The sequence below is a fragment of the Homo sapiens genome, chromosome 6, assembly GCF_000001405.40.
Source record: "Homo sapiens chromosome 6, GRCh38.p14 Primary Assembly".
NCBI classification, from domain to species: domain Eukaryota; kingdom Metazoa; phylum Chordata; class Mammalia; order Primates; family Hominidae; genus Homo; species Homo sapiens.
Genome location: NC_000006.12, coordinates 25,594,557 through 25,612,026, shown reverse-complemented (window position 1 = coordinate 25,612,026; position 17,470 = coordinate 25,594,557). Strand labels below are relative to the sequence as shown.

Here is a 17,470-nt window from a genome sequence, read left to right as displayed (position 1 = left end):
GCCATTCCTAAGATTTGCTACTTGGGGAGGGAGAAGGATGAGGAAGGGAATCAAACATATACCCCTAAAGCTCTGAAACATTTAAGGAGGAACACATTCTATTTCTAACTTCCAGGGGAAAGAACATTCAACTTTTTCACGGCAGCTAAGAGCCTGCAGTGGTATCCAGTATCTCCCCGACTTTGCTAACCAGAGAGGCTCCATGATCTATATTTGTACTTGTGAGGCTGGTGGGTTACTCTAGGCCTTGTTTTGATAATCTATAGGCATCTAGAAAACACCACTTTCCAGAAATGTTAAAACAATGATTTTTGTATTCAACCTTCTGATCTTTTTTCTTCTATTTTTGTAAATCCTTCAATATTTCAATTGCTTCAGACAAGATAGATGAACATTCCTACTTAGCACTACCATCCCTTCCTCACTTTTCTTTTTCTCTCCAACTGAACTCTTTCAGGCATTTTCAACGCTTCCTTAAAAGTAAAGATGTAAAGTCAGCAGTTGCAGAAAGGATGGAAAATTAGGGTAGGAATGGGAGACGCACTTGGTGGTGAGAACTGGACTGTCAGAGAATACCTGCAGGCTCAAGTCTCTCTGAGATGGCATCACCAAAGGTCCTTCCTTTTACACCAAGTCTTCCAAAGGCTTCAGTTATAATGCTGAACCCTGTATTTATTTACCTCATGTAAAATGACTATAGATACCAGCTACTTTTCAAAAGCTTTAGTTTCTCTATTTGACAGAAGTGGTTTAGCAGCTTTGGTCTCAACCCAACCATCTTTTATTTATAGCAAATAAGTGAGTGAAGCTTCTACCCAACAAATAAATCTGTAGGATGGAGATAAGAAAGCAGGCAGTGTTATTGTTTTTATTAGATTTCCAAGCCACAAAGACAGTACTCAGTAACACTTTCTATTAACTTCAACCCAATACTATTATCAATAAAAGAAAATAGGCCAATGTAGGAAGAGAACAGAGACAGAGAGATCAAAGGTTCTAAAGCATTAAAAAAATCTAAAATAAAACACAGCAACTCCAAACCACAACGAGAGCCTTCTGGGTGTAGACGACTTGTGTGGCTCCAGAATTTCCTTATAGGTGGGGCTCAGAGATGGCATTTACACTATACATTACATAGGACAGAACCCCAAAGTCAATCACACATTTAAAAGAAATGGCATGGGTGCTGAAGCCACAACCATGCCTCACCTTTGATAATAATTGGTAACAGCTCAGTCTGATTTGGGAAGAAAGCATTCTCGTCACAGGATTAGCTTGCTGTGCTTCTACCTCAGCAAATTAGAAGGAGCAAACTGGTGCAGGGTCGCCCTGAGAATGTCCATGTCTGCACCACACTTCTGAGAGTAAGGAACATCTGACCTTGTGACTGAGCGAGCACAGTGAGCTGCAAGGTGGCTCAGGCCCGGGGGTGCTGCTCCTGAACTATAGCAGTACTGATTTGCCACGACTAGGAAAAGATTTCATTGAAAATAATAGGACTCAGAAATCTATAGGTAGCCCCAAATACGTCATAAAATCATGTTTAAGGAGCTCCTAACATGCTGGAAGTCAGTTCAGAAGCATCTAGAAATTATTCTTGCAAATAAGTTAGACCTTTGTGTCTCAGCTGCTTTTTTCATATGTCATTAAGATCCAATGTCATCAATCATGCTGAATCAAGTTTCTGAACTAAGAAACTACTCCATTTCCAAAAATTTAACCCAAGCAATGTTGACTTTAACAAACTCTAAGATATTAGTAAAGTCCAGGATGAGTTCCTTTATTTTGAAATGTCCCTCCTTGGGGAGAGCTAACCCAGAGAAAAGAAATCCTTACAATCCTTACCTTCCTGTGAAAATGTCCTGGGGCTGGGCTGGGGGCTACTCTGGCCATCTCTCTCTTTGTCTGAAGGAACTTTTTTCAGGACAGGTGGAAGAAGGGCAACTTTCGGGCTAGATGGAGAGTCTGGAATGTCATCTAAGGAGACACAAACACGTGAATCAAACTGTTCCACAAACTGGATTCCAAGAACATAAAGCCTGGTAAATCTATATATAAAAATAAGTCATTTAAAAAAATAAAGCATCATAGAATTTTTCTGGCCAAAAATTAGTTTTGTGTTTTTGCTCAGTGAAGTAACATCCACAAACAAAAGGGAAAAACAATGAATACTCATAAAAAGTTAATATCTGCACAAATATGAATCTATCCTGTAGATCAAGAATTTCAATGCACAGCTATTTGAAAATTAGACTGTATGTGAACCATATGTTCCTTCTGACTTAAACACAAAGGCTGTTTGGTTTTCATAAAATATGTAATATTTATAAGACACTGCCTTTACCTGTTGTCAAACCCAGTACAATAGTCACTATACATATGTGTGTATGTGTATGCATGCATGCATGCATGCATATATGTAGGTCACTAACAATAATTTGGAATCATGGTCTTTTAGAACCAGAAAAGACTTTGGGCACTGGACAAATGAAGAGATTGAAAACGAAAAAGATGACTAAATAGCTAGGACTAGAATTCTAGTCTCTCTTTTTTTTTTTTTTGAGATGGAGTCTTGCTCTGTTGCCCAGGCTGGAGTGCAGTGGTGCGATCCCGGCTCACTGCAACCTCCGCCTCCTGGGTCTAAGCGATTCTCCTGCCTCAGCCTCCCAAGTAGCTGGGATTACAGGCACGTGCCACCATGCCAGGCTAATTTTTTGTATTTTTAGTAGAGACGGGGTTTCACTGTGTTAGCCAGGATGGTCTCGATCTCCTGACCTCGTGATCCACCCGCCTCAGCCTCCCAAAGTGTTGGGATTACAGGTGTGAGCCACCGCGCCTGGCCAATTCTAGTCTCTTAATTCAAAAACCAGGGCTGTTTCACCCTAATTGAAAGAATCTACCACAAGCTTGTCCAACCCATGGCTCACAGGATTGGACAAGCATGCAGCCCAGGATGGATTTGAATGCAGCCCAACAAAAACTTGTAAACTTTCTTAAAACATTACAAGATTGTTTTGCTTTAAAAAAAAAAGTAATCAGCTATTGTTAGTGTCAGCATATTTTGTGTATGTCCCAAGACAATTCTTCTTCCACTGTGGCCCAGGGAAGCCAAAAGACTGGACACCCTTGACTACTGGATCATTCTTCTTCCTTTGCTGTTATCAGCAAGGTGGTTCTTAAGTTGGCGTGTGAGTGTCTGTGCACGTAGAAGACAATCTACAGCCACGTTCTCTTCAGTCTTAAACTTCCAGTCGCCTACTTGCTTAACCAAAATAAGCAGGGATGTGATAAGACATGTGAAGATAACACTATCCACCTTCACCATCTGTCAGAGCTGTGGCGGAGAGGAAATGAGATGGTGTATTTGAAAATGCCTGCTGAATTCCCAAGCTCTATAAAAACATAGGTTTATTAACATAATTCTTGATATACTAAGTGCTATGAAATAACACATTTAGTAAATAAACAAAATAAAACTTCTTGCAACAGAATATTGGGAATTCAGCTAGTTTTATATTCAGCATTAGAAACTGGGGAGTGGTCCCCCTTTATCCACATGGGATACAATCCAAGACCTCCAGTGGATGCCTGAAACCGGGATAGTACTGAACCCTACATAAGCTGTGTTTTTTCCTACACACACACACCTATAATAAAGCTTAATGTATAAATTAGGCACAGTAAGGGATTAACACTAAAACCCAATAATAGAATAATTATAACAATATACTATAATAAAAGTTATCTGAATGTGGTCTCTCTCTCTTTTTCTCTCTCTCAAAATATCTGCACCATGAATAACTGAGACTGTAAAAAGCAAAACCTTGGATAAGAGGGGCCTACTGTCCTCTACAAACTAGGTTACTCTACAAACTAGATTCATTCTATAAGAACTATTTCTTTATTGCAGAGTAGAGACACACCCAGCTGATGACAATGTTAGGAGCAAGGCTCCTTTTGAGTACTTATTTGCTTTGCTTTCTATTAAAAATTTTTTCTATTTTCTTTGCCTCCATTCTCTCCACTCCTTCTACATGAAAACATTGTGTATGGACCAAGAAATTTTTTGTGTTCCCCATCATAAACTTTGGTTTGGGAAAAAGTTTGAGTAGAATTAGGAAGTCCTAAGGGGTTTGTTTCAAGGCTTAGTTCCTTGAGGTAAAGCCAGTACACCACTTTCTTTGTGGCTTCTCTTTGGAAACAGTTCACTGGTTTTCTCAAGGGACCAATGGGCTATGAAGACCAGGGACTGTCCAAGCTGGCCACTCGGGAAATGAAAAAAAATATGTGACGGAACATGGGAAAGAACCACAAGTGGAAGAAGTTTGGACACACAGGATTCTACCTTTTTGCTCATTCTACCCAAACCATCTGCACATTGATAAATTATTAGGATGAGCTGTGCATCCTACTTTACAATATACATGTCCATGGGGGAGAGGTCAATAGAAACAGTTACCACGACAGTTGGTGGAGTCAGAACATCTGGCGGCTACACAGACACACCAGCTGCGTGACTTGGCAAACTCAGTATCTCTGTGCCTCATATTCCTCATCCGTAAAATGGAGCAGTGACGAGGATATTGAGAGTTCATCAAAAAGCACTTACTATAGTGCCAAGGACACAGCTAAGTGCTCAAAGATTAGCCATGATGATGATCTGACTATCTATTTTTATCCCTGTTTGACTAATTTTTGTGGGAGAACAAGGGGAAGAGGTGAAGAATTGATGTAACTTTCATATATTACCTATCCTACTTTTGTATATGTTTGAAAATTCTTATAATGGTAAGTTAAATTAAAAAAAAAAAACCTAATGTGTGTGTGTGTGTGGTGTTTTTTTGTGTGTTTTTTTGTTTGTTTGGTTGGTTTTTTTGAGATAGGGTGACGGGGTCTTGTCACTCAGGCTGGAGTGCAGTGGTGTGGTCACAGTGTGATCACAGCCTAAATTCCTAGGCTCAAGTTATCCTCCCACCTCAGCCTCCCAAGTAGCAGGGACTACAGGTGTGCACTACCACACCTGGCCTTATTTTGTGCAGGAGAGAATAAGGTGAAGACCAATCCATTTCTAATATTTTTAAGTTTCTTCTATCATTAGATTTTCTAAACTAATAGCAAACTTTTTTGTAAAGGGCCCAAGAGTAAATATTTTACACTTTGCAGACCATATGGCCCTGTTGCAAGTATACCACTCTGCCACTGTAGCGCAGCCACAGCCACAGGTGACACCAACGCAAAAATAGTATGGCTGTGTCCACTAAAACTATTCACAAAAACAGGCCCATTGTTTGCCAAGTCTTGTTCTAAACCCTTGTTATATCATAGAATATGGCATAAACACCACAGAGCTTGTGCTTTCCCCATTTGTAGCCTTCCTCCTTAAACTGCTGCTTTTCAAAATGTCTGAACGCCCTGGAGACAGATATTAGAAAGCCAAGCCGAGCACTACAGATGGGTCAACATGACAAAAGACTGATTTCCCTGTCTTGCCTACAAACTAACCTGTACCCCTGAAAGCAAGGACAGTCTCAGAGTCCCCAACTCTCACACATGGTGGGCCTCTGCATTAAATAAAAGAATCCGTCAGCTCTCATCACTTTCACAGCTTTGCATAGGTTTCTTGTGATCCCCTCCTGCAGAAGCCGCTGTACCTCGCTCACCAGCTGCCCCTGAAACCACCTGCAGAGTCTGATCCAGCTGGCTCTGGGAAGCCACCTGGTCACAATGCAACTCCCTAACTGCAAAACTCTTACCAGGCCGTGAGGCGGTTCTTGGTTTCTGCGGGATGACGGGCCGTGCTGCCAGACTGGGTTTGGGGGACTGCAGGAGGGGCTTCGGGCTCGTAGGTGTGCTGGATGAGCTCCGAGACCTGGAGCCTGCTTCCGCTTTGGGTTCTGCTTTGGTATTCTTTTCTGGTGTTCCCAAACCAAAGCGGTTCTCTGGAAGACCTGGGTGCAGTTTAGGCACTAAGATGAAAAAGGCCACTTTAAAAATCAAAGGTCAAAGAAGCCAATAACTTGAAGCTAGAAGTCTGGTACAAACTGCTGTAATCATTTGCCATCGTTTCTCATCACGGATGTTTTAAGAGTATTTTAAGAATATGCTGTTCTAGCATGTTTTAAAATCAAAACATGCTGGAGGAAGAGTGACGTTCTTTGTAGAAAAGCAATAAACTTTTTGGTTGTTTTCTGATCACCCCTGACTATTCCAGCGATGACAAGCTTTTATATTTAATAATGTACAGTGCCGTAATCACATACAAGGAAAACAGTGGTTCTTCATGCACTTGAAATATTTGGGTCTTTCTCAGATCTGGCACAAGGTACAGGTATAACCGAATGTAAGTGCCTTGGTTCTGGACAATAAGCAGTTAGGGCTCTGGCTACAGGTTCTGAGTGAGGAGGGTGATGCTGACGGCTGCAATCTCATGTTTAGTGAGAACAGCTCCAGAAATGTCATCTCATCCCCCACCTCCATCCATACTGCTGCCTTAATTTAACAAGACAACTGGCAAAAATAAGCCCATAAAATGTGATTTATCATCCAACTCTTACTGCACCAAGATACTGTAGCTATGCATAAGACTCTCAAATAGCAAAGTGAGGATTCTATCACACAGTTAACGCATTACTCTCTAGTTTTCATCTAAGGTATTTTCTTATTTTATTATACCTAAGAAGTCAGAGGGACAAGGGATATTGGATTTCATGCATATTCAAGCTGCAAGCGAAGCATATTGTTCATACCAAACAAGACAGCCACCCATCTTCCATATGTCATGCATGGCTTATTCTTAAATACATCAGCCATGATCCTGTATGCTGCCCCCACCCCCAACTTTTCCAAAATGCTCAAAGCTGAGGAGTTTGCAATGAAAAAACAGTCAGAATTTCCTCCCTTTGGGAAATCAAAAAGTGCCCTGTCCAGGCACAATGCTACAGTGGGGCAGGATGTGCCCCAGGGGAAGATAAGGCAGGTGAAGGGATATGGTCTTTCAGATGATAGCTGAGAACACACAACAAAGAGATCAGTTCTTGCCTCCCTGTTTAAATTTTTCTTCTGTCAATCATGTGACTCTGCAATCAGAAGGTAAGCGCTTTTCCTAAGGGGGTGATGGCAATGGCCTGACTTACCTGCCCCACCTCCATCCGACCGTTCTACGCCGCTCAAAGCTGGGCTGGAAGAATCCTGGGATACGGCATCATTCCCAAGCTTCTAAAAAATTCAAGCACCATCCCCCCAAAAAGTGCACATTTATTTAATGCAAAAGTGAAAAAACAATGCAGATAATAAATGACAGCAAAGAAGGGCTCTTTAACTCAGCTGCTGTTATGGTGACTGTGCCTGACCTGTCTCCATAGGCTCTCTGGCTGGGACAAAACTGTGAGAAACACATTCTATTCTGTGTTTACGGTCAGGACTCTGGGGTCCAAAGTGTGGCCGGTTTGGTTCCTCGGAAGGCTCCTCACAGGTGAGAGGTGCATGGGGCCAGGGAAAGTCAGTGGGCTTGGTGACCTTTACTGTTTTTCTTGTTGAACACCTATGCAGGCTCTGCAGCCCCTGATGCTTTATGTGATGAGGGCCCTTGCATGCTAGAAATGTACAGAATCTGCTCTAGGTTTGGTTTCCAAAAATCTAGTTTTGGCTGGGTGCAGTGGCTCATGCCTGTAATCTATCTCAGCACTTTGGGAAACTGAGATGGGAGAATTGTTTGAGGTCACGAGCTTGAGACCAGCCTAGGCAACATAGTGAGACCCCCCATCTCTGCAAAAAATAGAAAAATTAGTCAGGCATGATGGCATGCATCTGAAGTCCCAGCTACTCAGGAGGCTGAGGCAGGAGGATCACCTGACCAACCCCAGGAGTTCAAAGCTGCACTGAACTATAAAAGCGTGCCAATGCACTCCAGCCTGGGTGACAGAGCGAGACCTTATCTATTTAAAAATATATATATAATTTTCAAAGCAGCAGAAACCTTTCCAACCTCAATGATAATACAGGTGAAAGGGGTCCTGAAATAGGCAGGGTCTTCCTTGCTTTGAGGTAGAACCACATGACACAGATCTATTATTTAGGAGGTAAATACAGATGAACAGGACCGAATAAATTTTTTAAAAATCTGCAGGTGGGAGGAATTAGTGATGGTGATGATGGGGAAAGTAAAATGCCACTGTCTTGGGGTAGGAGTAGAAAGTTTAGAAAGTCTACACTAGACTGAGGCATTTAGATACAAAAAAAAGATATACAAAGCAAAGTCTGGTGTTTACTTCATAACATCTAAGAATTATATTGACAAAGATGGTCTACATCTACTGCCTGTCTAACAAGCAAAAACACTGTGGACCAGTAGACCAGCAGGCATGATGATTCCCAAGGCAGTCTGACCTTCAGACTGCTGGTTCCTGCTCATCCCATGCTTCTGACAAACCTAAAAAGCTCTGCAGCCAATTCCTAACTTTAAACTGTGTTTGATGATACAGGAAGTATTATTTGAAATGCAGGTGAGATAAGCCTCATTCCCTGAATTCATCAATCTACCCCAGTCACACACTCCCCAGGAGTGCTGGCTCTATCAGAAGGAAGCACCCAAGTGGCAGGAAGGCTGAGGAATTTCTCAGGAAGATGACAAAAGCTCCACTGTCATGAATGCAAGGTGCTGAACAGATCTCCAGGAGGAAATGTGTATACAAGCACTGCAGCTAACACAAGCACACTATTCGGCATCACTATGGAAAAGTGATCCCCTAAAAAGGAAGTCCCATGCCAGCCCTCTGTGCCCAGGACAAGTGTCTGCAGGACAGGGCTGGGGACCATCCATGAAGTCCCCTTTCACATCCTTCCCTTTCAGGTTCCTCCAAGTGCATGGCAGGCACCTGAAAGTGAGGACCTCCTTAAATTCTGTACCCGGGGCACCCCATTTGCCTGCATCTCTAAAGCAATCCTGGGAGTTGTTCTCTTTTCCCTCCCAGATTTTTAAAGTTATTTATAAATCCCAAAGTGACTGTGGGGAATAAGGATAAAATAATACAATGCCCATTGCCTTTGTGTGTGGACAGATGACTTGGAGGCCCCAGAGGAAAATATATGAACTCTAAGTATTCACTGCTTATTTCTCTCTTTTGTCAATAAATGAAAAGTGTCATATCTTCATACTTACAGTTCTTTTTCTTTAAACATATTTATATGTATATATCTCAAATGCCAGCAACGCAAAGAGAATTACTTATAGGAGGGTGAAGACATCATATATTTTATCAACAGTATATTGATCATTGATGCTATTGTTGCTACCTTTAGAAAGAATACAGTCATGGTACTTTAGAAAAAAAATGTTCTAAAGCTAATTTTTGAAAAACTTCATTATTTAATGATTTTGACAGAAGACCCATGACTGGTCTGAATTTTAAATAGCAAGAATTTTTAACAATGGTTGTTTTAAAGTGACACTAGATGGCGCTAACAGATCATTAATACTGTGTAAGCCCTAAACAAATATAAAACCATAAGGGTTTTGTCACTTTAAGTCGATTTATATATCAAATCCAAAGTACATGAATAAAACACTCTAGTAAATGTCATCTTTACACCAAAAAGAAACTGTTAATCATGAAAAACATAAACAGCATATTAATCAAAACCGCACATTCATTGTTATAAAGAAATTCACAACATGGATTAAAATTTTAACATTTCCTTGGGCATCTGACTCACTAATGACATGGTTGTAGTATTATCCAGAATTCTGACCAGTGAGGGCCACACCATGCCTCCTTTGTTGAGTGAGCAGGATATAGTTCTGTGGTCTCTCCCAACTCTAAGGGTTGCTCAGTGAATTAGGAGGGTTCTGCAATTAAAGAATTGCTAAATAATGTTGATGTTGGTGGGAGAACTTTGGTAAATAGTTGTAAGATCAGGTGGGAAGTGGAGTTTAATTTTTAAACATTGGTTGTTTAGAAGCCATATAAAAGAGCTCCCTACACCTGCCATGTAGTTAATTGTTTACTTTCTGAAAGTCAAGGGCTCACCGGGATGAACTGTTTTATTGTGATACTTCAAATAAAATAGACATGTGATTTCCTTTCTTGGAGAACCAGTTGTGTAAAAATAATGGAGCTCAAGATAATGCACAGAAACCACAACCTGACTTAAACATAGGTATGTTCATCTTATCACACAGATACAATCCTTCATGTAGTGAGTGACAAGAGAAAACAGGGGTAAAAAGAAAAGTGAAAAAGACTCCTTATACTTTAAAAGGAGATTTGAAGAATAAATAATGTTTTAAGTCAGATTTGGGGGGAACTCAGCAAATTTTAAACTATGAAGTTATTCTCTGTAGCAACAGATGATATATATCAATGGTCAAATATTCAGTTAATTCTAATAGAATACCTTGAGTGTTTTTTCTTTTGTCTTTGTCTTTTAAATCTGGAATATAGCAAGGCATTCTTAGGTTTAAAAAGAGAATAATTTTTAGGTTTGAAAAGGGAATAAGTTAGAAAATAGTTCCCATTTTTATATATAATCTAGTTTCAGTGTTTTTATTTCCCTCTGTTAGTTCACCTATCTTCAATATTACCCTCAGTCTTCCATCTGGATTCAGCCGACTGTCTTTTCCCCCAGATGTGAGCATTTCACCTGGCCCCGGAACATCTCTGACATGCTTCCACAACATGCACAGGAGGCCCCTGGGCAGGTGGGGAAAGACCGGAGTCTTCAAAGCCTATGTTAGAATGCCGGCACTCCACAAGACTGTGACCCTCAGGCCAAAGTGAGAACATGGCCATTTCTTTAGGGTCTGTGCTCCAGGTTCTTTAGCAATAAGTTATGGTTTTGGATTTCTATTTAACCAACAGGCTATTTTTATTTTCTCACCCAAATAAACCCAGCGAGGGCAAAAACACAAACAAGGACAACCAAGTCAAAAATGAACCCCCACTTATCTCACGAAGACAAGGAGTAGATTGGGGGTTACCAGACGGCAGGAAGTGTGGGGACATGGGGGGAGATGAAAAGAGGTACAAAATGGGTACAAAAAACACAGCTGATAGAAGAAACAAGACCTAGTATTGGACAGATCAGTAGGGTAGCTCTAGTTAACAACAATCTATTGTCAATTTCAAAATAGCAAGAAGAGAGTAATTTGAATATTCCCAGCATAAAGGAAAGTTAAATGTTTAAGGTGATAGACATACATAAAAATATCACATGCACCATGAAAATGTGTGCATCTATTATATATCAAATAAATGAATGAATTAAAAATAGGTCCACCCTTACCTTCTGCGCACACGCAGCTCTCTTCTCTTGCTTGGCTTTCATCTCTGCCAGCAGACCACTGCCCATCACCTGGACCCCATACCTCCGCCCTGCCTGTGGGCTGCTCTTGCTGTCACTCCGTTCCACCTTCCCTATTTCTTCCCCTTGACTCTCTTCAAAGGAGTCAGGTGTTTTTATCTCCTCTATCCGTTCAGAATTGCCATTGTGCTCGGCGGCCTTTGTGTCCTTCCTGGGACAGTCCACAGGTGGACTTCTGACTGCCCCTTTTGGTGAGGAGGGTTCTTCTGTCATCAAGATCGTTGGTGGTCGCTCGGATTTGGACCGGGATTTGATTAAATTGAGAAAGCCACTACTTTTCCGAGAATCTCGCTTTTTCTTTTCATCTCCTCCTTCATTAAGCTCATGGGACTCTGAGCCTCTTGTTGACCATTTCCTGCATTTCAAACCAAGACACAGATCTGTTGTTTTTACTGTAAATAAGTTCCAGCAAGAATCAGTCAAAATATAAATATGGAGATTGCTACATATACAGTAACCATTCAGAAGCATTTTTAAAAGCAGATTTGAGTTACCGCCCTTAGGAAACAGAAAGGAATGTGGAATATCATTATCATATTCACGTGAGAAAATCGAGGCACGCACACATTAAGAATGAAAGATGAAAATGTAACTGGTACAGCCAGTTTGCTAGCTTACTCTAAAAGTAACCCCTCTCCCTTTGTTTCTTGTTTTATATATATATATAACCACTTGCTCTGCTTGAGAATTCCAAAGGGTAATCTTAAAACAATCCAGGCATAAAACAGAGGTGGTGGTACAATTTTCTCCCTTCCAAGTAGAAATTGGTACACAGTTAATCCATAACCTAACCCCTGCCAAGAGGAAACCAACCAGACCTCCAAATGGTCCATTACTCAAGATAGTCATCAGAAAACAACCAACAGACCTGCACCCCACACCACTCCTGTGCATAGTTTTCATGCCGCCTTTCACCTTAAAACCCCTTTAGCCAGCCTGAAAATTTGAGATGGCTTTTTGCGACTTGAGTCTGGCCATCTCCCAAGCTGTCGGCACTTGCATAAACCAAACTTTGCTTCTCATGCGTTTGACTTTTTGAGGGGCAAGCAGCTAAACCTGAGTTTGGTTCCAAAAGGCAGAGAGTATGCTCTGGGAGAGTTTTCAGAAGGAGAATATGCTGAAACTTGGGAAATGGAAGGGGAGAAGGAGTCAATGAAATGAGCTAAGTAGGAAGTATCACAGACAACTTGTCTCATTTAAAGCTGGCAGACTGAATATCCACTTAGCTCCCCTGAATCGCCATTAAAATAATAACAAAGGATTTATAAAAGAAAGCATAAGCCCTACAGGGGAGAAAAGGCAAAAACAATAAAATTTGGAAGCCAAAATACACTAGTTATGTGTGAAAATTGACTTAATAGATCAGAGAAAGCTGAAACCTAAGCCAACAGTCGGGGAGACCCAGAAGCATTTGATTTGTGCTGGCTCCAGAATGAGGAGACGCGGGCACCTCTGCAAGTGGAAGTGAAGGGGAAATGAAGACAGGAAGGTTCTCTTCTTTGTGAAGCCCATTCAAAAATTCATCGGATCCTCTCCCTAAACCACAGAGCCAATGATGCCCATCCCAACACCCAAGTTCACTCTCTGGAAAGAATGAACCAAAGAAGCTGAGCTGGGGGACTCCAAATGCAGCTGAGCTGAGTGAGGATCACGAAACAGGGAGGCTCAAGAAAGCCTGCACAGTGAGCAGTGACATCCCCGGGACTTTTTCTCCCTCTGCATGCCAGAATCAGACAGGCAGGTTTATACCTGCCAGGCAGGAGATCAAAGTTTCCAAAGCTCAACAGAAAGGACCTAAAGATTCTGAGAGTCAGGGATACCCTCTCCCCGCAACAAAATGGTCCAGGAAGACCACCCTACATTGAAGCCCACCAGTCGACAAGCTCTACCCACAAATTTCCAAGAAGCTCTTCGGTGCCCCCATTCCTTTTCAACACGGAAGAGAAAAAATATTGCATCCACCAACATGAATAATAGCAAAATGTGATAGCAGAAGTAGAAAACTCAAGGTTGGAAGATACAACTGAGGAAATCTCCCAGAAAAACAAAGGGAATATAAAGAATTAAAAAATAGGAGAGAAAAGGTAGAAATTAGTGGATTAACAGAGGAAATAAAAAATCTGAGTAATGGCCTGGGCATGGTAGTTCATGCCTATAATCCCAGCACTTTGGGAGGCTGAGGTGGGCAGACTGCTTGACCCTGGGAGTTCGAGACCAGCCTGGTCAGCATGGCAAAACCCCATCCCTACAAAAAATACAAAAATTAGCTGGGAGGGGTGGTCCATGCCTGTAGTCCCAGCTAATCAAGAGTCTGAGGTAGGAGTATCACCTGAGCCTGGAAGGTCAAAGTTGCAGTGAGCCATGATCACGCCACTGCACTATAGCCTGGGTGACAGAGTGAGATGCTATCTCAAATAATAATAATAATAGAAGTTTAAGAAAAAAAGTACAGAGAAAAAAGGAAGAAATTATGAAAGAAATAATTTTTAAAAATTCAGCAACAAAGGACATGAGTTTCCAGATTGAAATGGCTTATGAGTGTCAAGCAAATTGGTTTTTTAAAAAAATTAAAAAATAAAAAACCCACCTCAGGGCACATATCATCATAAAATTTTAGTACACTGGGAATGCAGAGAAGATCCCAAATGCTTCCAGGAGCAGGAAAACAAAAGCAAGTCAGAAACAAAAGAAAGACTCAAGTCAACATCAGATTCTCATAGCAACACCGGAAGCTAGAAGATAATGGAGGAAAGCTATCAAAATGCTAAGGTACAATGAAGAGCAACCTACAATTCTATACCTAGTGACACTATTAATCCAAATGAAAGATATGCAACAGTTACAGAAACTTGTTTTCCAAACTGTCTTTCTCAGGAAGCAATTCAAGAAGGTGCTCCACCAAAACAGGGGCATAAACTAAGACCAACATGGGCCAATGGAAACAGAAAAATGACACAGAGACGAGGTGAAGGGAATCCCCCAGCAGATGATGAAGGGAGATCCCAGACAACAGCAGTGGAATGGGCCTAGAGGTCACACTGGAGCTGGTCAGATGCTGGTGAGAGGTGTGTCCAAGAAGAAAAAAAACTGAGAATACTTGAACAAACTGAAAGGAAATTTATATCCTTACTGGAGATTTAGGAGATAAGTCAGTGAAAGGAATGCAGAAAACAAAGCAAATGAAAAAGGGGACAATAATTAACACCAAGGAAAACAAAAAATTCTATAGAAAGAAAATGTAATCACAGTATACGATCTAACACAGTTGTCAATATTTACATGGTTAGGATGAAGCAAACACTAAATATTGATCTAACCAACTCCTGTGGTTTGTCCCCAGCAAAACTCATGTTGAGGCTTGGGCTCAACATGAGTTTTGATAGTATTGGGAGGTGGTACCTTTAAGAGTTGATTAGGTTATTAAAATCAATTACTGAGACTGTATTAGTTCTCATGGGAATGGATACATTCTTGAGAGAGTGGGTTGTTATGAAGTGAGTCAGCCTCCTTCATCCCTCCTTTCTTTTTGCACACACTCAATTCTCCTTTCACTTCTCTGCCATGCCATTATGCAGCATGAGGCCCTCACCAGAAGCCAACCAGTGTGGCCACCCAAACTTGAACTTCCCAGCTTCCAGAACCATGAGCTAAATAAACCTCTTTCCTTTATAAATTACCCACTCATAAGTATTTTGTTATAACAACAGAAAACAGACAAAGACACCAATTATGATAAAATTAAATAAAGAAAGTGGGGCAAGGAAAAGTGTGTGTCTAAGTACATGAGTACGTGTGTGTGTGTGTGTGTGTGTGTGTGTCTGTGTGTTTGGTGACAGAGTATACAGGTTGAGTATCTGCAATCCATAATTTGAAATGCTCCAAAATTTGAAACTTTTTCAGCACCAACATGCTCAAAAGAAATGCTCATTGGAACATTTTGAATTTCAGATTAGGGATGTAAAACTGCAAGTATAATACAAATATTCAAAAAAGAATCCCAAATATTGAAACACTTCTGGTCACAAGCATTTCAGATAAGAGACACTCAGTCTGTATTATCATCATTTAAGTAAGAAGTTAGCGGTTACAGTACTATCTAAAAATGAAACACAGAAAACAGAAAAAAGAAAGCATGCTATTAAGACAAATGGAAGAAACAGCTAAAGGAATAAAAATTAGTTGCCTCTGGGGAATAGGGAGTGGGAAAATAATAAGGAAACTTTTTTAAGCCTTTGTAGAACATCTGACACTTTATGAGCATTTATAACTTTGATTTTCAAACTTTCTTCGTACTACTTCATGATTTTACCTATCCCTTGACCTTTAAAGATTGGACTGACAATAATCTATTTATAAAGAAATTTCAAATCACAACTTTTAGTAGATTCCATCATATTATTTGATGATGAAAACTGACGTATTTATTTCTATTTGTGCACTGAAACATGAACGGAATCTTCCTTGAGCAGTATCTTTATAAAAAAAATATATTTTATACCTTACAAAATTTACCCAACTTTCATTCAGAGCCTATTAAAGAAGAAACTAGCATTAACGGGAGAGAAAATCACACTGGGACGGGTATAACAATATGTACAGTTCGGATCGAATGCTTATAAACCACCTCACTAACTGAATATAAATTTCAGAAGTTTAAAAAGAGCAAACAATAGTATCTGTAAATCACATGGAGATGAGTCGAGATTTTCTCCATTCATTTAACCATCACTAATTGAGGGGCAGACTATATATTATGGGCTGCGTTAGACATTGAAGCTATAACAAAATAAGGCCCAGGTATCGCTCCTGAAGAGTAGCATTCTATTTGGGAAAAAAGCCTTGAAAGCAAATCATTAACAGCGATTTCCCATTTTGCTATATGTTTGTGTTGGTTTTTCTTGAATCTTTTACATTGAAAACACATTCACCTATTCCTTCAGTTATAAAAAAATTAAAAATCAAACAAACTCTTAAAGGATTCCGTGGGCTTTAACAGATGTGTCTGAAGGATGGAAAGAAAAGTATTAAGTCAGCAGCAGAGAAAAAGCAATTAATTCGGGGGGGTGGGAGGAGCAGTCCCACAAAAGCTTCAAAGAATAAATGACATTTAGGTTGGTTCTTGAAAGACAGCAGAACAAAATTTTGCCAAGTATAGTATGCTAAGCTTCAAGGCCAGTGTCAAAGAAGACAAATAATTGGGTCCTAAAGGTTATAAGATTCAGTAAGTTACATTGTTATGGATATAAAATTTAACCCACTGCCACCTCACCATCCTGCCGAGGCAAGATAAGGCACATCCATCTAATAGAATTGATTAGTTGCTTCCCTACCTGTGCCCAGCCTGCCGCCTTTGGCTTATCTGGCTTATGTTTGTTCCTGAATTTGATATCTCAAGGTGAGAATCTTCATAAAGACAAATCCATGTTAAGAGTGTATTTTGGGATAGATTTGTATTTAGTTGAGGATTAAATAACATGGTACAAATCATGCTTAAAGACTGAAATGTTTCAAGTTAAAGAACTGTTAACAAAAGTACCACTGAACTATCTTCTAAGGGAACTGTCTCAGTAGCAAGAAAATGAGGAGAAAACTTCAGAAAATGCTGACTCTGAGGGCTCTCTGCTAATTTTGCTGTCATTTTGACACTGTCTGTTAAATCATGCCATTTAGCAATGACTTAGCCCCCCAACCCAATAAATCAAATTATGAACAAGGAGAAGCTCAAAGTAAGTAATTCCAGCATAACCATGATCATTACCCTGTAATGGAACTATCCAAGTGATAAAGCCCTAAAAGAATCTTGGGGTGGTATATTTTGTGGTCTGGTTTAGATTCGTACAATAGGTCTCAAACTGGAGCATGCCTCAGCATAACCTGGAGGGCTTATTAAAATACAGATTGCTGGGCCCAACCTCCAGAGCTTTTGATTCAGTAGGTCTGGGGTAGGAGTTTGAGAGTTTGCATTTCTAACAAGGTCCCAGTTGACACTGGTATTGCCGGCCCAGAGACCATATTTTGCAAGCTGTCAGAATAGTAATTTCCATATATAAAATGAAACTTAGTATACTAAGTTTAATTGTAACTGTTAGTAATTTAAATATGAATAAAATAG

At 40.4% G+C, this 17,470-nt stretch overlaps 1 protein-coding gene across 19 annotated transcripts in view; it reads right to left on the bottom strand.

Annotated features, from left to right (window-relative positions):
• Positions 1 to 17,470, bottom strand: part of CARMIL1 (capping protein regulator and myosin 1 linker 1) — a 341,157-nt gene that overhangs the window by 8,504 nt on the left and 315,183 nt on the right. For 11 of the 19 annotated variants that reach the window (XM_017011008.2, XM_017011009.2, XM_017011015.2 and 8 more), the window contains 4 exons: positions 11,281 to 11,713; positions 7,134 to 7,215; positions 5,754 to 5,966; positions 1,846 to 1,977 (listed from right to left, as the gene is read on the bottom strand). In XM_017011008.2, the coding sequence (XP_016866497.1) occupies positions 1,846 to 1,977; positions 5,754 to 5,966; positions 7,134 to 7,215; positions 11,281 to 11,713 (860 nt within the window). The remainder of the gene's footprint in view (positions 1 to 1,845; positions 1,978 to 5,753; positions 5,967 to 7,133; positions 7,216 to 11,280; positions 11,714 to 17,470) is intronic. The other 8 variants (XM_017011012.2, XM_024446484.2, XM_024446485.2 and 5 more) reach the window with 1 other exon arrangement.